We start from the raw sequence: 25,518 nt of genomic DNA, 5'->3' as shown, positions 1-25,518 counted from the left end.
CCGACCAACATGGAGAAACCCCGTCTTTACTAAAAATACAAAATTAGCCGGGCGTGGTGGCAGGCGCCTGTAATCCCAGCTACTTTGGAGGCTGAGGCGGGAGAATCGCTTGGACCCGGGAGGCGGAGGTTGCGGTGAGCCGAGATGGCGCCACTGCACTCCAGCCTGGGCAACAGAGTGAGACTCCATCTCAAAAAAAAAAAAAAGAAAAAAGAGATATTGGAGTTGGCTGTCTTTTGTAGATGGGAAGGGAGAGGACCAAAGAAGTGTGTGTAGAGTAATGACACACTCTGATCACACAGACTTATTCTTCAATTTCCACCTGCTACAGGCTGTGTGACCCCAAGATTGCCATTGTTTTTTTTTTTTTTTTTTTTTTTGTTTTTTTTTTTTTTCCTGAGACAAGGTCTGGCTCTATTGCCCAAGCTGGAGTGGAGTGGTGCCATCTCAGCAACCTCTGGCTCCCAGGCTCAAGTGATCCTCCCATCTCAGCCTACCGAGTAGCTGGGACTATAAGCACATGCCACCACACCTGGCTAATCTTTGTATTTCTTTTTTGGAGAGATGGGGTTTCACCATGTTGCCCAGGCTGATCTTGAACTCCTGGGCTCAAGCAGTCCTCCCACCTTGGCCTCCCAAAGTGCTGGGATTACAGGTGTGAACCACCATGCCTAGCTGAGAGAAGCTAATTTTCTGTGCAGTATTGAAATGGCAAATAAATGTTACAACACGTGCCAGTGCTGGCCAATGAGTATTGCCTATTTGGAGCAGCGAACAAAAAGATTTTACGGCCTCTTTTAGCTTTACTTATTTTTTATTTTTCATTATTTTTTGACCTGTTAGCAGGAAGCACTCTTTTAGGTTTTCAGGGGAAAAAATGTGATAGATTAGTGATGTCTGTTATGTGCACCATAATAGATAATTAAGATATGTGGGTTGTGCATGGAGGTGGTATTTGAGCCTGGGTTTTAGAATATAAAGCTTGGGGCTGGGCGCAGTGGCTCACACTTGGAATCCCAGCACTTTGGGAGGCTGAGGTGGATGGATCACCTGAGGTCAGGAGTTCAAGACCAGCCTGGCCAAAATGGTGAAATCCTGTCTCTACTAAAAATATAAAAATTAGCCATGCATGGTGGCGTGCACCTGTAATCCCAGCTACTGGGGAGGCTGACACAGGATAATTGCTTGAACCCGGGAGGTGGGGGTTGCAGTGAGCCTAGATCATGCCACTGCACTCCAGCCTGGGCGACAGAGCAAGACTCCGTCTCAAAAAAAAAAAAAAAAAAAAAAAAAAAAAAATATATATATATATATATAAAAAGCTTGGATCCAAACCACTGCCCTATCTTAGGTACTTGTACAACAGGGTGAAACTTACAAAAATGCTCTGAGCCTCAGTTTCCTGATTTGTAGATTGGAGATAGTGATGCCTCTCTCACTGCAGGGTTGCGCTGGGAATTAGGGATAATGGATGAACACATCCTGGACAATCATAGGCACACAAGTCATTTGCATTTACTCTGTCTCTGACTTGCTCCTGTCTTATACTTGCTGCTGAAGATGTAGTCATTGATTCTAGAGCCCTATGGTCTGAGATCCCTGGAGATTTCTGGAGTTGCCAAGGAAAGAGGCCCCACAGATAGGCAGACTTTCCCTGCAGGCTTGCACTGGAAACCCCAGATGCAGGCTGCCACAAGGGAAGGCTCTCTTTCTTGGTACAGAAGCCTGAAGCACCAATGATGATAGAAGGGAGCTGGGTGCCCAGGGTTCCAGTATATCCCTGCTGGTGCACAAGTCTCCAACATGCTCTGGTCCAACTTGCCATCATCCTTCTCCTGGATGAAGGCAATGATATCCTAAATAGCCTCTCGGCTTCCTCTCTTTATTTTTTTGAGAGACACGATCTTACTCTGTCACCCAGGCTGGAGTGCACTGGTGTGATCTTGGCTCACTGTAACCTCTGCCTCCCGGATTCAAGTGATTCTCCTGCCTCAGCTTCCTGAGCAGCTGGGATTACAGGGGCACGCCACCACACCTGGCTAATTTTTGTATGTTTTGTAGAGACAGGGTTTCACCATGTTGGCTAGGCTGGTCTTGAACTCCTGACCTCAAGTGATCCCTCGGCCTCCCAGAGTGCTGGAATTACAGGCATGAGCCACCTTGCCTGGCTGGATCACATTGTTTCTAAGGCCCGTTCGGACTCTAAGAAACACCTGACAAGCGTGCTAAGAGTTCCATATTACTGAGAATTTGCCACAGCATTTTCCCCAAGCCTTGCTCCTACCTCGAAGTTGCATTAGTATATCCCTCTTTGATTCTACCAGGCCCTTTGCAATCCGCTAGACCCTGGATGGGCGCATCTGGGGAAAGAAGCAGGTGAAGGATTCCTGGTTAGAAGGGAGGTGCTTTCAGAGCACTGGCACGCCATGAAATTGTGACCAAGGAGGTTGGAGAAATCTGAAAATCTGAAGTTACAGCAGGCTGGTTGTTGGCCCTCCTGGTCTCTGAGACCCCCAATCTCCCCCATGCATTTCCCGAACCTCAGTTCTTGGCATACTACCCTTCCTTTGAGCTCTTATGTCTCATATGACTTGTGTTGACTTAACATTTTTCTTGAAATCAACTTGCTTTTTCAATTTAAAAAAGTAATTTTCCTAGGATCCTTTCCAATTGCTACCTTCTGGCCAGGTGTGGTGGCTCATGCCTGTAATCCCAGAATTTTGGGATGCCGAGGCAGATGGATCAGCTGAGGCCAGGCGTTTGAGACTAGCCTGGCTAACATAGTGAAACCCCTGTCTCTACAAAGAAAAATATAACAAATAAAAAAACCTAATTGCTATCTTCCCCCGTCAAGTTTTATTTGCTACGAAGGCAACTAGGAAAAGAACATAATAAAATCAAAGCAAGTTATTCAATTAAAAGCCGGACAGAGTGGACCGCCCAAGGCTATAGCCCCAGGCCTGGCCCCCTCCTTTCCCTAGAGACTGGCAGAGAGCAGACAGGTGTTAAAGGCAGGCTGGCATCACATGGGGACCTTTTCCTTGACATGATCAGAACTGAAAGAGAAATTTAAATCCATCAGTAAATCAAACAGAATAGGAATTGTCAGGGTACATAGCAAATGCTGGTAATTTTTGTTTCAGCTGTGCAGTGGGCCTGAAGTAAGTTCTATTCCTTACTGTGTGTCTCAGTCAAAACAAGTCAAAACCCTGGTCTAGCCAGATAGTGAGCTCTTCAGTCCCACCCACCTCTCCTCGTCCTTTTTCTTTTGATTAAAATGCAAATTAGCTCTCTCTGCTTCCTTCGTGTGTCTGGTGCATTGCGGGGAGGGGCGAGATGAGCTAAGAGGCCGAGTTCAATGTTTAAATCAGTAAAAGTGAGAGGAATTCAGGTGAAAGTGGAAACAAACTCTTCCAATTTGCTCTGGAGAAAGAATAATCATAGTAAAAGTACCAGCTCCCATTTATTTACTTACTGTTCACCTACCACATGCAATAGACCTTCCATAGATCCTTTCGGTAATCTGCAGGATTGGCTGGCGTTATAAAACCGGTTCAGAAGCCTAAAAGGCTTGTTCAAGGTCTTAGAGCTCAAAAGCCAGAAATTTCTAGCGTTGGCTGCACCTGACGCTCGCTCACCAGAAGCTTACACTTGTGTCAAAGCCCCACCCAGACTAAGTAGGTCTGAGTCTCACAGGTGTGACCTGGGCACCGGGGGAAGCTCTGGAGGCTCGGAGGCTGAGAACTACTGTTAATTACCATAAAGAGTGGACGGTGGGCCCTGCATATGACCACAGGACTTCATGATCCTCAAATCCCTGGAACTGGAGGTCAAACATCCCATGGATACAGGGAGAAAAAAGCCTGTGGAGGCAGAGTGTGAGGTGCTGGATATGAAACTGCTTCTTCCCTGCATCTCCCCAATCTTGCATCCTTCAAAATGATCTTACCCCCAGACTAGACATCCCTGGCCTCTCACTGACCCGCCGTATAACCTCAGGCACATTAAGTAACGTCTCTGTGCCTCAGTTTCCTGATCTGTAAAATGGGAGTAATAGCAATTGGAACTATTTTGTGGGCTGGCAGAAGTCCTTACTGTTTCCCCAGCCCCAGAGCAGTGCCTGCCTGCAAACAATCATTGAATAAACAGTAAATGCTCAACAAGCAGCCTATGAAGATGGCGTCTGACTCACCTTTCTACTCCGCTGCTTCCCAGGTCCTGTGAACACGAACTCTTTGCATGCATCATCGGCTAGAAATGGACCCCCCAGATCTCTCTAGAAAAGACCCTGCCTCTCATTTTCCTATCAGCCGTTGGGACCAAGACAAAAGTGCTGGCAGACGCTGAGGACATTCCTTTCCCGTCTGCAGCCCCAGCTGCTGGCTTCTCTGCAGACTCAAAGGGACACAAAGACACACTCAGCCAAGTGCACTTCAGTTGTCAAGGCCAGGGGTTGCCATAGCAACCCATAAAGCCGGAGCCGTGGGCCTGTGCAGATGGGGTTAACAGGGCCCCATTCAGGGGCAGTGGCACAGGGACAGAGGCTTTATCTCACATCCACTTTTCTCCTCCGACTTCAGCTGCAACAGCCTCTTCTGACTTTCCCCTCCGCATGGGCCCCAGCCCTCTCTCCCTGCAGGCATGACTTCCTATCACCTGCCTCTTGGGCATCATAAAATTATCAGTGACTTGTATAGGGAGACAGAAATACTGTTCTTGGAAACAGGCAAATGTCCATTCCTAAGAAAGACTGAGAATGATGTGGGGAAAGTAACAAGAGCCAGAAATTGGGTCTAAAGTGTGGCTGGGCCATATATATTACCTAGGCAAGTTGCTGAACTCATCAGTGCCTTAGTTTCTGCATCTGTAAAATGGGAAGAATGAAATCTATTTGTGGGGTCAGGAGGCACTCAACTGGCTTAGGGTCAATTGAAGAAAGTACATAGGATGTGGAAGAGATGCCTGTTGCAGGCCATTTTCTGTTTCCAAAGAGCTCTTTAAAATTGTGCATTTTGGCTGGGCGCGATGGCTCACGCCTGTAATCCTAGCACTTTGGGAGGCCGAGGCAGGCAGATCACCTGAGGTCAAAAGTTCGAGACCAGCCTGGCTAAAATGGTGAAGTCCCAACTCTACAAAAAAATACAGAAATCAGCTGGGCGTGGTGGCAGGTGCCTGTAGTTCCAGCTACTTGGGAGGCTGAGGCAGGAGAATTGCTTAAACCTGAGAACCGAATGTTGCAGTGAGTAGAGGTCGTGCCACTGCTCTCCAACCTGGCGACAAGAGTGAAACTCCATCTCAAAAATAAGTAAACGAGTAAACAAAAATTGTGAACAACTTCTTTTTTTCCTTCTCCTTCTCCTCCTCCTCCTCCTTCTTTCTTCTTCTTTTTTTAGACAGGGAGAGACAAGGTCTCACTACGTTTCCCAGGCTGGACTTGAAGTTAGTAAAGGCACTTCTTCTATGGCCTGATGAGCTGCTAAAGACTATTGGCACATGCGGTGGTCCTGCTACCAGCCTCAACATCCAGATTTCATGAGAAAGAAGCTGATCTGCCTCATCCTCATGCTCCTGTCTCAGAGTCCTCTCTGCCCACCTCAATCAGGAATCCAGGGAGAACGAACACATCGTTGCTAGCAGGCAGGTAGTTACCCAGCCTGTGAAAAAACTGGAGAGAAAAATGAACAGACAGGGCTTCACATCCAAGCCTCCGAATGTGAGACACAGATAGCCTTTGTTCTGGAGGTAGGAAATAATATGGAAAGAAACATCTGCAAAAGGATAAGCTAGCTTTGGATTTCTGATCCTACAAGGGAGGAGGAGTGAAAGAATGGAATTGGCTTAGAAAGGATGCTTGGACCCATGCTGAAGTAGCTACCCGGGCCAACGCCACAGAAGGTCCGGCTTGTAAAATCTGTTTGTTCAGTTCAATAAATGCTTTCTGCACACCTGTGCCGAGCCCCAGAGATTCCTCAGTAAACAAGGACACGTCCTGCTGTGTTCTGTGGGATCTCGTGTTCCCGTGGGGAGGCCCAACAAGCAACAAACAAATCAGGTCGGTGTGATTGGAGGAAACGCACTTCCCGTTCAGAGAAAACAAACCACTTTCACGGACTCCAGAAACCGCTAAGTACGCAAAAATCACAGCGTATAACAAGTGAAACATTTATATTTCCTTCAAGGACCACACAGCTCCAGACTTGGAAACACTTTGTTGGTGGCTGGAGTCACGCTGTGTGCCTGGCAGCATTCCTACATGCACTTGCAAAGACCTTAACTTTTCTGTAATTCAAAGTATCTTTCATTTATGCCTGTGTGTGCAGGTATCTGCTCTGATTTTACGAATGAATGCCAATCGTGTCAAGGTTTCACATACACCGTCTTATCTACTCCTGGGAGGCAAATACTTCTATTCCTGTTGTTCTCTAAAACCCTGCCCCCTGACTGAGGCTGCCATTTAGGGGTCATCTTCCCAGAGGCAGGGGCTGGCTCAGGGGACCTCAGAGACCAGCTCTGGGAAGCATGTACCTGGAGGGTGCCCTCCATTTCCAGGGTCCAGAACGGTGTCTGGCTATTGTAGGTGCTCAAAAACACTTGTTGAATTCAATCATGGAGTTTCAGCCCTATACTCTGACAACTACAGGAACTGAACTGAAAAGCAACCTCTGAGTCCCATCCGTCAGATTAATGCAATGTTTCTCAAACTTTTTTTCATTGCCATTCCCCTAAAGATTCTTTATTAGCTACATACCCCATGAAATTTTAATTCCACAGATAAATTGTACATCTGCTTATGTATTGTATTTTATATCTGTACTTTATTCATAAAGAGTAAGATTTCTTTTCTTTCCCATAAATGTTCACTCTCTTGGGAATACTGATCCCACTAAGAATGCAGGGATTAAGCGCACACCTGCCATGTGCCAGTTGCTGGGTTGGACATTTGTTCTGCTTCATCTTATTCCATTCTTGCAACAGTATTACACAGTATGCATCATCAGCGCTATGAGACTGAGGATGAGACTGAGGTTCAGAGAGGGTTGTGGCTTATCCTGTGTCACACAGCTTGTCAACGGCAGAGCCAGTCTTCAAACTCGGGTCTGTGAGGCTTTAAAGCTAGTGCTGTTCTGTTTCCTTGCACAGAGAAATAACATGCCCAAGCTCACCTCATGGAGAAGAGGTGACCTGGGACCTGATGTGTAATCCCAGCATGTTGGGAGGCCAAGGTGAGAGGATCGCTTGAGCCCAGGAGATTGAGATCAGCCTGGGTGACAGAGCGAGACCCCATCTCTAAAAGAAAAAAAAAAAGAGGTGATTTGGGATTTTAATTTAATTCTTAAATTAGTCCTTCTGATTCCAACTTCAGTTTCTTTTTACCCAATACGTTGCCTCAAAAATATCTTTAGGCTACTTGACAAACTCACTGGGTATAAAAATCAGTGTCTTGGACTATCTTAAGAGAGAAAGGAACAGAAAAGAAGGAACAGAAAGAGGTGCCTGATGGATTGATTGGGAGACTCTGGTCTAAGCTACAGCACCAGGGCCAGTGTGTATTAATGTAACTTAGAAATCAATTCACTGCACTGTCACCTGCTGGTCTGGTTTGGTTTGGAGTCACAATGAAGGCACAGGTAGTATGCTCTAAGACAGTACTGCCCAAAAGAAATATAACACAAGCTTTCAATGCAAACCACATAGGTAATTTTACATTTTCTGGTAGCCATATGAAAAAAGCAAAAACAGCTGAAACCAATTTTTTTCATGTATCTTATTTAACCCATTGTATCTAAAATGTAATAATTTTGATACATAATCAATATAGTTATTATTATTACTTTTGAGATGGAGTTTTGCTCTTGTTGCCCAGGCTGAAGTGCAGTGGCACAATCTCGGCTCACTGCAACCTTCGCCTCCCAGGTTCAAGCGATTCTCCTGCCTCAGCCTCCCGAGTAGCTGGGATGACAGGTGTGTGCCATCACTCCTGGCTAATTTTTGTATTTTTAGTAGAGACAAAGTTTCACCATGTTGGTCAGGCTGGTCTCAAACTCCTGACCTCAAGTGATCCACCCGCCTTGGCCTCCCAAAGTGCTGGGATTACAGACGCGAGCTACCGTGCCCGGCCATCAATATAGTTATTAATAAGATATTTTGCATTTCTTTTTCGGATGTGTGCTAAGTCTTCAAAATCTGGTGTGAATTTCACACTCACAGCACATCACAGTTTAGAATAGCCACGTCTCAGATGCTCAATGACCAGATGTGATGAACGGCTACTGTACTGGCCTGTGCGGGCTGACGCATTGCATCAGAATTGGAGTGTGGTCACAGGAACATACAATCTGACCTGCTGAAATGCCACGGCCTGCCTGGGCCTGTCTGCTGCAATGACGTAGGCACAAGTAGTTTAGTCTAGGAGAGGCTCTCAACGGGATCCAATAAAAAGGGAGAGCAGACAGGGCTGGCTACATGATGTGTGGGACCCAGTGCATAAAATAAATATTCGAGGCCCCTTGTGAGAAAATGGTTACGAATTGCAAGTCAGTGACATGGGGGGATCTTCTGAACACGGGACCCTGTGTGACCATATAGATCACAAACCCATGAAGCACGCCCTGGGTACAGAAGAAAAAACACCCTTCAGGTTTCCCCATCACTGGCCAAGGTGAGGGTGCTGGGATCACGACTGCAGCAACAAATACAATTAGCAGCAGCAACAGCAGACACTTGCTCAGCGCTTACTTTAGGCCAAACCCTGTTCTAAGTTCTTTATATATCATAATACCCATCAGAACAACCTTCTGATATTATAATTATCCACTCGTAGCAAAAAAAAGAAAAAAGGAAACAGATCACAGAGAGGTTAAGTGATTTGCCCGACATCACACAGCCATGTAGTATCTTTAGTACTAAATTTCACAAAACAGGGGGTGGGGGCATAATGTGGCCTGGGCTTACAACTAGCTGTGCCTCTGTTTTCTCCACTGGAAAATGGGTGTGATAGAGCTCTCCCATCCCCAAGCTGCTCTGAGGATGAAATGAGATAATCCACGCGCAAAGCTAAGCAGAGTGCCCAGCCTGGGCACTGGAAAATCTTCAGACCCACATAAAAGTTATGAACATAGTTCCACAGCCGCTTGTAATCCTCGAAACTGTTAACATTTTGCCACACTCGTGCCCACTCTATTATCTGTCTTCTGAATTATTTGAGTTAGTTGTGGACATTGTGATATTTCATCCTTGAATCCTTCAGCCTGTATCTTCTAAGAACAAGAATGTTCTCTTACATAACCTCAGTACAAATGATCTGAGATACAAAGTCACTCTCATGAAGGTACCATTAATAAAATACTATTATCTTTTTTTAATTTATTTATTATTGGCATATTCATGACATAAAAATACTATAAATACTATTATCTAACATACAATCTATATTCAGATATTCCCACTTATCCCTAAAACTTCTTTAATTGTTTTTTTTTTTTTTTTTTTTTTTAGAGACAGGGTCTCGCTCTATCACCTAGGCTGGAGTGCAGTGGCATGATCATGGCTCATGGCTCACTGCAGCCTCGAACTCTTGGGCTCAGGTGATCCTCTTGCCTCAGCCTCCTGAGTAGCTGGGATCACAGGCACACACCACTATGTCTGGTTAGTTTATTTTTATATTTATTTTTTGTAGAGATGGGGTCTCCCTATATTCCTGAGGCTAGTCTCTAACTCTTGACTTCAAGTGATCCTCCTCCCTCGGACTCCCAAAGCACTGGGATTACAGGTATGAGCCACTGAGCCCAGCCCACAAGTGTTTTCTGTTCCCCTGATCCAGGCTTCATCCTAGGATCAAACATTGCATTTGGGCTCATGGCTCTTTAATCTCTTTTAACCTGGAACCATTTCTCAGCCCTTTTGCCTTTTAAAAGACATTGGCGTTTTAGGAATCCCAGCCAGTCATTTTGCATGTAGTTGCGTGAATAGTCTTCTTTATGTCCTTGCAAAATGAAGTGCAGCTCACGGGCAAATGTGGAGAAAGAGGTCGGTTGGACATGTGATGTCAGAGGGTCCAAGTGATTTCTGCAGGTAGAGGAGGGCGTATAGTGTTAGCTGTTCTTGGGTGGAAGTTAAAGATTTCCGGGAAGCAGTGACGGGATGTTTAACGATAATTAGAGCTTGGCAGGTAGACAAGGGCAGTCGTGGCAGACAGAGGCCAGGGTAGGGGAAGGGGGATGGCAGCCCGGAGGAAATGCAGGCAGCAGCAATGTGTCTGAGGGTGAGCGTATCGCGTGTGATCGGGTCTGTTCCTATTTGAACTGGAAACTCCCTGAGGCCAGTCCTTGTCTCCGGCTCTGTCCTCTCCGCCAGGGTGCCCAGTGCCTACTCCAGAGTCAGGGTTCACTTAGAGCAACCGGCTGCCAAGTTTCCCAAATACCCAGGGACATGCAAAGCACAGAGGACCCCCTTCCTCCGGCAGCGGCCTGGCTGCCAGCTTGCACACACCAACTGCAGGATCTTCAGCGCCAACCTTTCAGGATTCCCACATCTTGCCCTGCAAATGAAATTGCATTTTCTAAAATTGCTTTCTTCTGGTTGCCTCTTGGGGCATAGGCTGCTTCTGGGAAAAAATTCAAAATGAACTTCTAATCAGCCACAAGATGTGAAGAGAGCGGCTGTCCAGAGCTTCCTGACATCTACTCTTGGCGTGAGCCGCCCTGGCTGTCAACTGAGATTCTCACTGCAAACTCTATCTGAAATGCCCAGTGACAGCGCCCCCTGAGCCTTCCATTCCCCTGAGTTTCAAAGAGAAAGGGGTGTGTGTGTTTGTGCTGTTCTTGTCCTTAGAACGAAGGGAAAGGATTTATTTAGCGGCTTGAACAAAAATGCCTTTTCAAGGTGACCCTCACTTCATTTCCTAGGACCAGATGCAGGCGGACTGTGGTGTTGCAAGCCTATTGATAAGAGCAATTCCTTATCTCATCATTTCTATATCCATCTTTCATTATTTTGTCCCCACTTTAAAGGGTCTCCTCCTGCTGTGTTCACAAAGTGTCCTTGAAAAATCTGTTAAGTACATTTGTGTGTCCTACACACAGAGAGCCAGGCACATGTGCACGCATGTACACAGATGCACAAGGGTGTGTGCCCCCCCGACCTGCACACCCCAACACCACAGATAACAGGCACTGACAGACACTGGCACCACCTCCCCATGGCAGCAAATACATACACATGTAAGGATGCACACAGAGACACACATACACATTTGCACTCACGGTGCCTGGTAGTCGGAGTCCTGCGGCGAGCTCAGCTCGCTTGCTTAAAATGCCTTCTGTATGCCATTCTGCAGAGGCCAGGAACGCAGCTGGCTGGGTTCATCCTAAGAGGTGCCGTTGGGCACCAGCTCCCTCCTCAGGAGGGTGTCCCGGATTTCCAGGCAGTCCCCAAAACATGGGGACAGGTGGAGGAGACAGAAAAGGGCCCCTTGGAAGCAGAGCAGGTTTGGGAAAAGGATGCACTCAGCTGGTACCCGGCAAGTGCGCAAGGGAGAGGGACGGAGGGAAGGTGAAGGAGGAGGGGAAAGACAGAATGTGAGAGACTGAAAGATGGATTCAGAAAGACAAGGGTTTTCAGACAGAAACAGGATGCAACTACACAGAAACAAAGATTAACAGAGGCAGAAGGAGAGCGATAAACAGAGAGAAAAAAATAGAATACAGATTTTTTTTAAAAGATGTTTTAAGCCCAGCTTGGTTTAAGCCAGAAGGATAAGACACATCATTTCAGACCTTGTAAAATAGGCTATCTCCCTCCCCTTTTTCCTTCCAGGGCCTCTTCCTAGATTTTTTTTTTTTTTTAACAGGCTCAGGAACCCCTGAAGGGACAAAGCAGAAATCCCGGGCTTCAGATTCCTAAATGGCTTCCCCAGGACTCTGCTGATGCAGTGTTGTGGACGCAGCCACAGCCATGACGGGGCTCCGGGGGGCGCCAAGTCATCTCCAAGACACCCAAGGCAGAGGGGCTGCTCTGGCGCCCACGCTCCACCTGACCCCGCCTCGGGGGTTGGGGAGGAACCTACCGGGAGCGATTACCCAACTCCCCCATTGTAGCCCATGCTGGGTCAACGCAGGTCCACAGGGGGCCCAGAAGAGGTAATGAGGGTGATCACAAGATGGGGAGGGGGTATGGGGTTGGGGGGGCAGAGAGCTTTCGGTCACATGCTGCTCATCAGTTACCATGACGACGGCAAGGGGGTGGAGGCACCCAGAATGGAGGCTGCAGGAGAGACACACTGGTTCTAAATCACCGTGACAGCGCTTCGGTTGAGCTATTACGCCGTTGCCGAGGCAACCAATGGGATCAAATCGCAGAGGAAATCTATAATTATTACAAGCCAGATACCGGCATCCTCGGTGCAGTAATCAGCACGTTAGGGCAATTCAACCTGAACTTTGAGAGGGAGAAACGTCAGCCCCCAGCCCCCAGCCCCCAAATCGGGGCAGAACAAGGGCCAAAGGGGACTCCACAAAGCAGATCTGTTGATGCTACAGATTGGGAACCTGGAAGGATCTTTTTGACCAAATAAAACATAAATTGAGGGGAACCACATGAAATTGACAATATTCACCAGTGAGCCACGGCGCCTAGACCATTTCCCATGATTTTTTATGAAACTTTCCAATGCACAGCAAAGCCGAAAGAATTTTACGGTAAATACCTATATACCCACTACTAGCCTCTACCATTAACATGATTACCACATGTGCTTTATCACATCCTGTTTTTGATGCATTTCAAAGTTAACTGTAGACATCAGTATCCTTCCCCCCAAAATATTTCAACCTGCATAAAAGTAAGCACTTGGTAATTTTTAAAACAAAAATAGTAATTTCTTTCTTTTCTTTTTTTATGAGATGGAGTCTTGCTCTGTCATCCAGGCTGGAGTGCAGTGGTACCATCGTGGCTCACTGCAACCTCAGCCTCCCGGGTTCAAGTGATTCTCCTGCCTCAGCCTCCCAAGTAGCTGGGATTACAGGTACAAGCAACCACGCCCAGCTAATTTTTGTATTTTTAGTAGAGACGGTGTTTCACCATGTTGGCCAGGCTGATCCTCAAGTGATCTGCCCCTCCCCCCCGACCTCCCAAAGTGCTAGGATTACAGGCATGAGCCACCGCACCTGGCCAAAAATAGTAATTTCATATGGTTCAATCTAAAGACAATAAAGTCTAGGTTTCTGTTTTTTGTCTGTCTGTTCATTCATCCATCTATCCTTCTCTCCCTCCATCTCTCCATCCATCTTCCCATCCATTTTTCCATCCATCCATCCATCCATCCATCCATCCATCCATCCATCTTCCCATCCATCCATCCATCCATCTTCCCATCCATCCACCCATCCATCCACCCATCCATCTTCCCATCCATCCATCCATCCATCCAATCATCCATCCATCCATCCTTCCACCCACCCATCTCTGGGAGAGCTCATGGACACTCACGGTTTCCACAAATGATTCACTATCCCCAAATCCTCTCCCTGGTTCAGCAGGGTGTCCTGCATATCAAGTGCAATACGTTCTCACAGTCATCATCTTCTCTTCACTACACCTATCTCCTTTCCTATGTTGAGCATCTCCATTAACAGACCCACTGCCTACTCATTTGTTCAAGCCAGAAACTCAAGAAATCTGATTCCTCCTTCCTGTTATCTTCCTTCACCACCACGCCACGGAATTTGACTTCCACGGTAGCTCTGGGCTCCACCCTCTCCCTCCTTACTTTGTCCTTGTTCAGGTACCCATCGTTTCCTACCTGGACAGTTGCCCCCACCTCCTGACGGCCTCCCAGCTGCTATCTCACCTTTCCTCTGCTTTCTCCACACTGAATTTTTATCATGAAATATTTGGCCATATTCACGATGCAGGGGAACTGGCACTTCATTCATTGCTGGCAGGAGAGGAAATTCATACAAATGGCTTGGAGAGCAATTTGTCAAAATCTGTAAAATTGTAAATGCGCAAACCATTGATCCCTAGCATAATTCTACTTGAAGGAATTTGTCTCATTGATATAAATTGAAAATAACCTAATTGTCCATGAGTGGGAACTGGTTAAAATAAACTTGGGTATATCCATCATGCAGAATAACCTGCATTCAACAAAAAGAATGCGATGGCGCTTTATGTACTGATATGGGAAAGTGATTAATGTTGGTTGCTGGTTGTAATAAATGTCGGTCTTCTCTCTTGTTCTAAAGACTCCTGTAGAAACCACCTAACCAGAGAGTGAAGTAAACACAGAAACAAACTTTGGAGGCTTGGAAAGTTGAGAGAATCCAGAGGGTTGGTACAAGAAGGCCTAGTTCTAGTTCCTGCTCAGATGTGAAGGTGCTTGCTCCTGAGCCTATTTCCTCTCTCTCTCTCTCTCTCTCTCTCTCTCTCTCTCTGTCTCTCTCTCAGTGCAGCCTTAACCTCCTGGACTCAAGTGATCTTTCCACCTCAGCCTCCTGAGTAGTTGGGAGACTACAGGCATGCACTACCACCCCTGGGTAATGTTTTTATTTTTTTGTAGAGACGGGGACTTGCTGTGTTGCCTAGGTTGGTTATGAACTCCTGGGCTCAAGCAATCCTCTCACCTCGCCTCCCAAAGTGCTGAGATTAAAGGTGTGAGCCACTATGCCCAGCCTCTCATCTCTCTAAGGGCTTGATCATACCTCCCAAGGTCATTCTGAAGGTCAAATGTCAACATGGAGGTAGAAATGGCATGCAAAAGTCTATCTTGCTAAACCAATGAGAGTTACTGTTATTCATTTGTCTTCAGGGTTTACCTAGCCCCCTTCTGAATACTAAACATCCCTAATACATGTAACAAAAGCTATAACCTTTATTTGTGTTTGAGCACCTATTTTGTGCCTAGGACTGAGCTAAGTACTTTCCATGTATTATCTCATTGATTGAAACAATGCTTTTGTGCTGGGGATTTTTGCTTCCATTTCACAGATATTAGTGGAGGCACACAAAGGTTAACTGGCTGGGCTTGGTGGTTCATGCCTGTAATCCTAGCACTTTGGGAGGCCAAAGTGGGCGGATTCCTTGAGCTCAGGAATTCAAGACCAGCCTGGGCAATACAGTGAAAGCAGGTCTGTATAAAAAAATACAAACATACAAAAATCAGCTATGAGTGGCAGCATACGTCTGTAGTCCCAGCTACTCAGGCGGCGGAGGGAGGATGGCTTGAGAACCGAGATTGTGCTACCGTGCCACTGTACTCCAGCCTGGGTGACAAAGTGAGAGCCTGTCTCAAAAAAAAAAAAAGTTAACTGACTGCTCTAATAGCATACAGGGAGTACTGCTACCCTGATAAGCCCCTACATCTTTCTGATTGCCAAGTCCACGCTTTTCTCACTCCTTAACCATTCCTACTTTCTATATCATGTCTTTAGACCTGTACTATTGAAAATAAATATAGGCTGGGCATGGTGGCTCACGCCTGTAATCCCAGCACTTTGGGAAGCCAAGGCGGGTGGATCATTTGATGTCAGGGGTTCGAGACCAGCTTGGCCAACATGGTGAAACCCCGTCTCTACTGAAAATACAAAAATTAGCTGGGTATGGTGGCAGGAGCCTGTAATCCCTGATACTCTGGAGGTTGAAGCAGGAGAATCGCTTGAACCCAGGAGGCGGAGGTTGCAGTGAGCTGAGATAGTGCTACTGCAGTCCAGCCTGGGCGACAGAGTGAGACTCCATCTCAAAAATAAATAAATAAATAAATAAATAAATAAATAAATAAAAATGTGAGTCACATGTGCCAATTAAAAATTTCTAGTGGTCACATCAAAAAAGAAAAGAAACAGATGAAATTAATCTTTTGGAACACATGGAAAAAGGCAAAAGTTGAAAAAAGATAAATAATACATTAAAAAATAAAGCACTGAAAATAAAGAAATTAATGTTAATTCTATTTAACCTGACGTGTCCTCAAAATCTCATCATTTCAACAGGTAATAAATTAGCATAAAACTAATTAGTATGAAAACTAATTAGCGAAATGTTAATATTTTGCTATCCTTTTTGGCATAGCAAGTCTTCAAAATCGGATGTGTGTTTTATGCTTACGGCACACCCCCATTCAGATGAGCCCCATTTCGGGCACTTGGTAGCCAGGCGTGACTCATTGGCAAATGTAGCTCAGGTGGGACTGACATACACCTAAAGTGAGTGTAAACCTTAAATAACAATACTGGCCGCCGTTTATTGAGCACCTGCTGTTTATTCTCATGAGTCTGTGGAGTAGGTGCTCTTACAAGCTACAGAGGGAAAAAATAAAGCCCAGGTAGTTTAGAACATGCCCAAGATCCCGGAGCTATTTATCTGGGGAACTGCAGTTTGAACCAAAGCCCAAAGCTTATCCAGCCATCTGGCTTCTCCTGTTCTTGCCAATGAATGCTGAATATTTATTACATGTCAGTCATGTGTCTGTAACATTTAAACCTCTAAGAAAAGAATTTAACTTGTGGCACTTAATTTTAAAGAATTTGATTGGCCAGGTGCGCTGGCTCACACTTGTAATTCCAGCACCTTGGGAGGCAGAGGCAGGGAGATTGCTTGAGCTCAGGAGTTCAAGACCAGCCTGGGCAACAAAGTGAGACACACAACCCTGCCCCCGAGCCACCTGCGCCCCCCACCACCCCACCACTGCCATCCCTGTCTCTACAGAAAATAAAAAAATTAGCTAGGTGTGGTGGTGTGCACCTGTGGTCCCAGTTACATGGGAGGCTGAGGCAGAAAGATCCTTTGAACCCGGGAGTTTGAGGCTGCAGTGAGCTACGATCATGCCACTGCACTCCAGCCTGGGCAACACAGCAAGATCCTGTCTCTTGAGTTAAAAAGTCTGCAACTAACTCTGAACTTCTTACCAGCGTGAGACCTTCAGAACTGATAATAAACCAAACAAATTCTCTCTCCCAGCAGACTCCTTTTGTCTAGATGGGCTGAGAATTAGAGGGAATGATCAAGTTCAGGCTTCCACCCTCCAGAGCAGCTACCCATAGGAACACAAGACGGACTTCACTCTTTCATGGGATCACATATCAGGAAGTCCACTGGTTCCAGCTTTCTCCTCCTACTCAGGCCAAGACTGACCACTGATTTTAATCATGACATGCAAGTACTAGAGAGATTCTCTTGGAGATGGGGATGGTGGTGATGATTTCATGAGTTTCATGACTGGTTCTGGGATGATAACCTGGGGTTGCCAATATCCCTAACTCCTGGCCGGGTGCAGTGGCTCACTCCTGTAATCTCAGCACTTTGGGAGGCCAAGGCTGGAGGTTTGCTTGAGCTGAGGAGTTCAAGACCAGCCTGGGAAACTGTCTCTACAAAATAAATAAATAAAGTTTAAAAAAAGTTCCCTAATTCCTGGCTAGGATGCACTGGAGTTAAGTCCAGCTAGCTTTTAGGTTCCACGGTGTGGCTGCTGTTTTAGAAATGTAAGCTTCTCTCTTGCCTCTTGCAAACTGACGTAAAGGTAAATCCCATTTTAGCTCTCACTTCTTGAACATAACCACAATTACATGGTCATCAGCTTGAGGGTGAAATTAGGGAAAGGAGGAAGAAAAGGGACTCTCATTTGCCTCTAAAATGTCTCTAACTCTGGGCTGGGCACATTGGCTCATGCCTGTAATCCCAGCTCTTTGGGAGGCTGAGATGGGAGGATTGCCTGGGCCCAGGAGCTGGAGACCTGGGCAACATAGTGAAACCCTGTCTCCGCTAAAAAAAAAAAAAAAAATTACCCTGGCATGGTAGTGTGTGCCTATAGTCCCAGCTACAAGGTAGGCTGAGGTGGGAGGATGGCTTGAGTCTGGGAGGTCGAGGCTGCAGTGAGCCATGATTGCACCACTGTACTCAAGCCTGGGTGACAGAGGGAGACCTGGTCTCAAAAAAACAACAAAAAAAGTGATTATTCTGCTAGACCACCATGGGCATTGCTCACTAGCACAGGGAGAGAGTCATCTTCCAGCCTCCACTCCCCTAGCCTGTCACTTCTTAGCTCAGTGGTGGCTCCCAGCCTTTCATGAGGCATCTGGGACCTTGCCTAACCCACCTCTGCCTGCATCTCTTTTCTGAGTACTGACATGCCACCCCACCCATTCCACCCTCTGATTCCGGGAGGGCACAGAGCTCTGTAGCCTCAGGGCCTTTGCACCTGCCATTCTTGCAGCCCCGTCTGCTTCCCTCATTCCTCCTTAGCCAAAACCTAGGAATCACTCAGGTCGCAAACACTCCATGTTATCTCTTCAGAGAAGCATTTATAAACCTTCTTGTGGATATACAATTGTCTTGCTGTAATTTCTTATAGCTTCTTGCGTAATTCTTTCCACTCATCACAGTTAGTACTTACACATTTATTTGCATGAGTATCTTTTTTTTGAGACAGGGTCTTGCTCTGTCTCCCAGGCTGAAGTGCCGTGGCACGATCTTGGCTCACTGCAGCCTCCACCTCCCAGGTTCAATTGATTCTCGTGCCTCAGCTTCCTCAGTAGCTGGATTACAGGAGCGTGCCACCACACCCGGCTAATTTTTGTATTTTTAGTAGAGATGGGGTTTCACCATGTTGGCCAGGCTGGTTTTGAACTCATGGCCTCAAGTGATCCACCCACCTCAGCCTCCCAAAGTGCTGGGATTACAGGCATGATGAGCCATCATGCCTGGTCTTTTCTTTTTTTTTTTTTTTTTTTGAAACAGGGTCTCACTCTGTTGCCCAGGCTGGAGTGCAGTGGTAAAATCACAGCTCATTGCAGCCTTACCTTCAGGGCTCAGGTGATCCTCCCACCTCAGCCTCTCGGCTGGGACTACTGGTGTGTGCCACCATGCCTGGCTAATTTTTTGTATATATATATATATTTTTTTTTATAGAGACAGAGTTTCATCATGTTGCCCAGACTGGTCTCAAGTGATCCACCTACCTCAGCCTCTCAGGGTGTTGGGATTACAGGCACGAGCCACTGCAGCCAGCATGAGTATCTTTTTAATGTACGCCTTCCATGCTAGCCCCAGAGATGGACTGCACATGCCCAACACTCCCAACAGGCACACTGAATATTTGTCCAGTGAATTCTTATTATTCCCATTTTATAGATTAAAGGAGCTGAGACCTTGGAAGAAATGTCACTCCCTCAAAGGACAGAACTATAAAACAAATTGTTGCGATTCCACTGTGTGCAAATTCATAATCCAAGGGCACCGAGGCTCTACCAAGAAATGTGGGCTAATGGCTGGTGCACAATTACACTCAAGCAATAGCATCATTTGGACTATGAAACCTGACTTGCTCTTAGCTGCTTTGTGAAACTGAGGATGTGCATTAGGTGTGGAGTCAATCTGCTCTCTTTGAAATGAGATTCAGAACAAAAAAACAACTAAAACCTAGCAAAAAACCAACCACCAACCAACGAACTGCCTGGGAGTTCAGCTATCTGCCTGTCTGATCTCAGGTCTGAAAGCCAGACCATCACCCCTGGCTCTCTCTCTCCCAACAGACACTGCTGGAGAGTATCTGAATCCAGACCTTTTGGAAAACAACATAAAGAGATATTAAATATTTTGACCTCAAGAAATCCCAACTCAGTGTTATAGCTCTTTTAAAATTTGTCTAGCAGGCTTTCCGGTAAAGACTGGAAAGCCCCTGATATGGTTTGGCTCTGTGTCCCCACCCAAATTTCATCTTGAATTGTAATCCCCATGTGTCAAGGGAGGGATCTGGTGGGAGGTGACTGGATCATGGGGGCAGTTTCCCCCATACTGTTCTCATGATAGTGAGTTCTCACGAGATCTGACGGTTTTAAAGTGGCAGTTTTCCCTGTGTGCTCTCTCTCTCTCTCTCCTGCCACCTTGTGAAGAAGGTGCCTGCTTCCCCTTCACTTTCTGCCATGATTGTAAATTTCCTGAGGCCTCCCAGCCATGTGGAACTGTGAGTCAATTAAGCCTCTTTTGTTTATGAATTACCCAGTCTCAGGTAGTATCTTTATAGTAGTGTGAAAATGGACTAATACAGCACCCCATCAAAAAAAAAATCCCAACTCTAGAAATTTAGCTAATGCAAGCAATACTACATGAAGGAATAGTTCTATGCTCAGAGATGTTCAGAGCAGTGAAAGCCACAGGCACAGTGTCTCATGCCTATAATCCCAGCATTTTGGGAGGCCGAGGTGGGAGGATTGCTTGAGGCCAGGAGTTCGAGACCAGCCTGGGCAACATAGTGAGACCCCCCATTTGTACAAAAATTTAAAAATTTTTTTTTAAAAAAGAAGCGTGCTCAGTTGAAAACAATGTAAATGACCAATGGTAGAGGATTGCTCAAATAAGTTGTGGTACAACAGCTTGATTATATGACATTAACTGAAAACTGTGTAAAAAGACAGGGAAGTGATTTTTTAAGCCATGTAATGAGAGAAAAAAAGAATGTAAAATTGTATATGCAGTCTGGCTACAATTTTTTACAGGCACAAAAAAACAAAATCATAAACTGCTACACAATAAAGCAAGGCTGGAAAGACATGTGTTTTCTGTTTAGCACCGTTGCATTTTGGATATGAGGCCATGGCATGGCCGTCTATTTGTTGCCACCTTTTTGTAGTTTCTGATTCTTCATTAATAACCTGTATTATTAATTTTATCAAATGTTTGGAGAAAAGAAGTCTCTCTAGCATTCTCAAATAATAGGCACAGAGATACTTCACCAGGGCATGAGAGTAACTTCAGTGGATGGCAGCCCAATGTGTCCAGATATTTAATTATAGGAAAACAACTATTGAGTAACTTGACGTGGCATTAACAGAGAGCCCCAGAGGCACTTGGAAATTGATCTGTGTTCCGTTTGGTTTCCGAAGGTGTGGAAAGAGGAGATGAGCTTCCAAACAGACTATAAAAAGGACATTAGCTTTCTAGCATTGAACCAGTCAAATTTGATTCTAGTTCCCAGGTGGAAATACTTAAAGTTGAAAGTAGGTCAGCACATTCAGGGAGTTTAGTGCACCTGCAGTTGACACAAAGGGAAACTTCTCGACTCATCCCAAGATAGTGGAAGAAAGGAAAGCTTGGAGTTAAGAAGTCTCAAATTTCTGGAAGGCCAGGAAAGAGGATGCTCTTGAGGCTCTGTGCTCTGGGATGCAGACTGTAGGCTAAGGATCCACAACTATGGCCACTGGCCTGCTTTTTTAAATAAAGCTTTATTGAAACACAGCTACACCTATTAATTCATGGCTGCTTTGCGCTACAATGGCAGGGTTGAATAGTGGCAAGAGAAACCACATGGCCCACATGCCAAAAATACTTACTGTCTGGCCCTTTACAGAAACAGTTTGCTGGTCCCCCATGTAGGCATTCCAAGCCTTCAAACTATAGGTCTTTCCTATCTTCCCAATAACAAACTGGTGATCCATTTCACTCAATTTCAAGCAGAGTTCAGTTTTTAGAGAACGGACACAGACCCAAGAGGGCCACTTTTGCCCTCAGACACTGTCTCCTTTTTCTGCTAACATGTCAGCAACACACAAAGTGTGTGCTTTCCCTAAGTCACCATTTGCCATCCACCTAAACGCTCTATTATTTACCAACATTTGTAAGACTTTTGCTTGAAATTATCTTGCTTTTTAACAGCAATAATTTTTTGGTTTTTTTTTTTGAGACAGAGTCTCACTCTGTCTGTCACCCAGGCTGGAGAGCAATGGCACGATTTTGGTTCACTGCAACCTCCGCCTTCCGGGTTCAAGCTATTCTCCTGCCTCAGCCTCCCGAGTAGCTGGGACTACAGGCGCACACCACCACGCCCGGCTAATTTTTTGTATTTTTAGTAGAGACGGGGTTTCGCCATGTCGGCCGAAACTCCAGGCTGGTCTTGAACTCTTGACCTCAGGTGATCCACCCACCTCAGCCTCCCAGAGTGCTGGGATTACAGGTGTGAGCCACTGCACCCGGCCCTTAACAGCAGTAATTTAAGTGGAAACTTTTATATCATTACTGTATCTAGAAAGCCAGTATCCTTTCATATAAATACAAGGTACCCGTAAAAACAATACATTGACAGTAGAGAGGTGTTCGTCAACTCTACCTGGATCTCGGTGCCTGCATCTTCCTGGCACACTCTCATGCATCACACCTAGTCCATCAGTCAATCCTGTTGGCTCCATCTTGAAAACAGATCCAGAATCTGCCCACTTTCCTGCCTCCATCATTTCCCCTGTGATCCAAGCCCCAGGGCTCCCGCCGTGTCCTAAGCATCAACCTTCTCCTCTCATGGGCTGTGGTCTGTGTGCAATCAACATAGGAGCCAGAGCAGTCCTTTGCAAAAGTCAGGTCACATCACACCAGTCCTCCCTCTGGTGAAAACCTTCCAGTGGTCCCCTGATATGGTTTGGATCCATGTCCCACCCAAATCTCACGTTGAAACGTAATCCCCAGTGTTGGACGAGGAGCCTGGTGGGAGGGGACTGGATCATGGGGGTGGGCTTCTCATGAATAGTTTAGCACCATCCGTTTGGTGCTGTTCTTGTGATAGAGTTCTCATGAGATGTGGTTGTTTAAAAGAGTGTAGCCAGGTGCAGTGGCTCCCGCCTATAATCCCAGCACTTTGGGAGGCCGAGGCGGGAGGATTACTTGAGGTCAGGAGTTCGAGACCAGCCTGGCCAACAGGGTGAAACACTGTCTCTACTAAAAATATAAAAATTAACTGGGCGTGGTGGTGCATGCCTATAATCCCAGCTACTTGGGAGGCTGAGGCAGGAGAATTGCTTGAACCCAGGAGGCGGAGGTTGCAGTGAGCCAAGATCGTGCCATTGCACTCCAGCCTGGGCAAAACACCAAAAGAAAAAAAAAAAAAGAGTGCAGCACCTCTCTGCTCTCTCTCTTCCTCCTGCTCTGGCCATGTAAGATGCCTGCTCCCCCTTCACCTCCTGCCATGATTGTAAGTTTCCTGATGTCTTCCCACAAACAGAAGCTGCTATACTTCCTGTACAGCCCGCAGAACCATGATCCAATGAAACCTCTTTTCTTTATAAATTCTCCAGTCTCAGTTATTTCTTTATAGCAGTTTGAGAACGAACCAATACACCCCCATCGCAGAGTGACAGCCAATGCCATCAGAGTGGCCTCCAGGAGGCCTGCAGGACCCCCCTACACCTACACCTCCATGTCCCTCCCCTCCCTGCCACCCCCTCCTGCTCTGCTCCAGCCACACTGGCCCCCTCGTGGTTCCTTGAACGTGCCAGATGAGCCTGACCCAAGAGCCTGCTCCTGCCCATTCCACTCCCCAAAAATCTCTTCCACAGAGAGCCAGGGGCTCCCGCCCTGTCTTCCTCAGGTCTTGGCTGTCTGATTTTCAGTTGCACCCCTGCCCTCCCTCTCCCCTTCCCTCACCTCTTCCTGCGTAACAGGTATCTCCTATTTTACCTCTATCTCCTCAGCATCCCCAGAACAATGCAAGCTCCCTCATTACAGAGCTCCATGTTTATTGATCATTAAGGTTTGGGGAATAATGCAGTAACCATCAGTATTTTAATTATACAAAAGGAAAAACTGAGGCACAGCAAAGTGAAGTCACCTGCTCAGTCACATCGGATAGTGAAGAGCAGAGGTGGGGTCCAACCCATCGGGGACTGTTCCAGAGCTTGTGGCCTCTGGCCAGGCAGGTCTCACCCTCTCCTTCTAAGGGCAGGGCCTGGCCAATAGTGCATGCTTAGTAAGGGTGAGTGCTTCTCTTCCCAGTGTTCACGTTATTCACTCCAGATTTGATTACAGCTCACTACCACGTTATTCACTGCAGATTTGATTACAGCTCACTACTATATGCTCCTGTGGCACAGAACATGTTTCCTTCACAGTCCATACTGCTGTTGTTAAAGAATTAAGGTCAAGACTGGTATTGTGGCTCACGCCTACAATCCAAGCACTTTGGGAGGCCCAGGTAGATCACTTTAGTTCAGGAGTTTGAGAGCAGCCTGGCCAACAGGGTGAAACCCCGTCTCTACTAAAAATACAAAAATTAGCCAGGTGTGGTGGTGTGTGCCTGTAGTCCCAGCTACTTGGGAGGCTGAGGCAAGATAATTGCTTGAATCCGGGTAGCAGAGGTTACAGTGAGCCAAGATTGCAGCACTGCACTGCAGCCTGAGTGACAGACAGAGTGACACTCCATCTCAAAGAGAAAAAACAAAACAAAGCAAAAAAAAAAAAAAAAAGAATTAAGGCCAGCATGGCGGCTCATGCCTGTAATGCCAGCACTTTGGGAGGCTGAGGCAGGATGACTGCTTGAGCCAGGGAGCTCAAGACCAGCCTGAGCAACATAGTGAGACTCTGTCTCTAAATTTAAAAAAAAAATGTTTTAAAATGCGCCAGGTGTAGTGGTGCACACCTGTAGTCCCAACAACTTGGGAAGCTGAGTGGGAAGACTGCTTGATCCCAGGAGTTCAAGGCTGCAGGGGAGCTATGATCAAGCCACAGCACTCCAGCCTGGGTGACAGCAAGTCAATGTCTCTTTAAAAAAGGGATTAATTGTGGGATTTCACAAACAGTGCAGAGGGAGACGCCTGACATCAAGGAGTATCTACGGTATGATTCCGTTTATAAAGTTCTAAAATAGGCTCAGCTAATCTATGGTGAAGATGTTAAATAGCAGTTACCCACTGGGGTATGAGGGAACTTTCTGGGGGCTGGGGACGGTCTAGATCTTGATCTAGGTGCTGGTTACATGGTTGCATTCTCAGGTAAAAATTCATGGAGCCGCGTATGTAAGTTTAGTGCACTTTGCTATGTTAAGTTATTCATCAACTTACAGATAAAAGGAGGAAGAGAATATCAGGAAAGTCCAGCCCCCTTTCCCCAAAATTAATTTTGCAATTTTAGTTAATGGCTCTTCTCCAAGTAACCACAAGCTGTGAGAGGGCAAAAACCACACCTGCAATACTCATGTCTGTATCCTACACCCAGCACAGTGTGCGTTCAGGACAAGCATCAAGAACTACTCACTGCAGGCTGGGCATGGTGGCTCACACCTGTAATCCCAGCACTTTGGGAGGCAGAGGTGGGTGGATCACTTGAGCCTAGGAGTTTAAGACCAGCCTGGGCAACATCGTATAACTCAGTCTCTACAAAAATTACAAAAAAAAATACAAAAATTAGCCAGGTGGCACACGCCTATAGTCACAGCTACTTGGAAGGCTGAGGTGGGAGAATCACCTGAGCCCAAGAGGTCGAGGTTGCAGTCAGCCGTGATCGTGCCACTGCACTCCAGCCTGGGTTCTGTCTCAAAAGAAAGAAAGAGGGAAAGAGAAAGAGAGAGAAGAGAAGAGAAGAGGAAATATTCACTGCACCAGCCTGGGCAACATGGCAAAACCCTGCCTCTACAAAAATTACCAAAAAATATCAGCCAGGTGTGGTGGTGCACACCTGTAGTCCCAGCTACTCAGGAGGATGGGGTTGGAGGATCGTTTAAGCCCAGGAGGCCAAGGTTGCAGTGAGCCGAGATCACACCACTGCACTCCA

The 25,518-nt window shown here is 46.4% G+C and overlaps 1 protein-coding gene and 1 pseudogene across 24 annotated transcripts in view, besides 1 other annotated feature; one reads left to right on the top strand and one right to left on the bottom strand.

Moving 5' to 3' along the window:
* ABAT (4-aminobutyrate aminotransferase) overlaps positions 1 to 25,518 on the bottom strand; it is a 109,954-nt gene that overhangs the window by 59,444 nt on the left and 24,992 nt on the right. For 3 of the 24 annotated variants that reach the window (NM_000663.5, NM_001386606.1, NM_001386613.1), the window contains exon 1: positions 11,262 to 11,547. The exons of 11 other annotated variants lie outside the window; for them this stretch is intronic. The gene's annotated coding sequence lies outside the window, so the exon portion shown is untranslated. Of the gene's footprint in view, positions 1 to 4,192; positions 10,538 to 11,261; positions 11,637 to 11,774; positions 12,179 to 12,221; positions 12,291 to 25,518 lie in introns of those variants that run through there. 10 more of the 24 variants (NM_001386601.1, NM_001386616.1, NM_001127448.2 and 7 more) reach the window with 8 other exon arrangements.
* Positions 4,524 to 5,024: an enhancer, noted in NCBI's record as "H3K4me1 hESC enhancer chr16:8813960-8814460 (GRCh37/hg19 assembly coordinates)". NCBI's record gives its function as "activates a minimal SCP1, AML or CMV promoter by ChIP-STARR-seq in naive H9 embryonic stem cells {active_cell/tissue: H9 hESC(naive)}" and the evidence as "EXISTENCE:reporter gene assay evidence [ECO:0000049][PMID:30033119]".
* On the top strand, positions 19,609 to 19,670 carry RNU7-63P (RNA, U7 small nuclear 63 pseudogene; annotated as a pseudogene).

This window comes from Homo sapiens, chromosome 16, assembly GCF_000001405.40.
Source record: "Homo sapiens chromosome 16, GRCh38.p14 Primary Assembly".
NCBI lineage: Eukaryota > Metazoa > Chordata > Mammalia > Primates > Hominidae > Homo > Homo sapiens.
The sequence above is the reverse complement of the archived record's forward strand: the minus strand, read 5'-3'. Positions and strand labels throughout refer to the sequence as shown.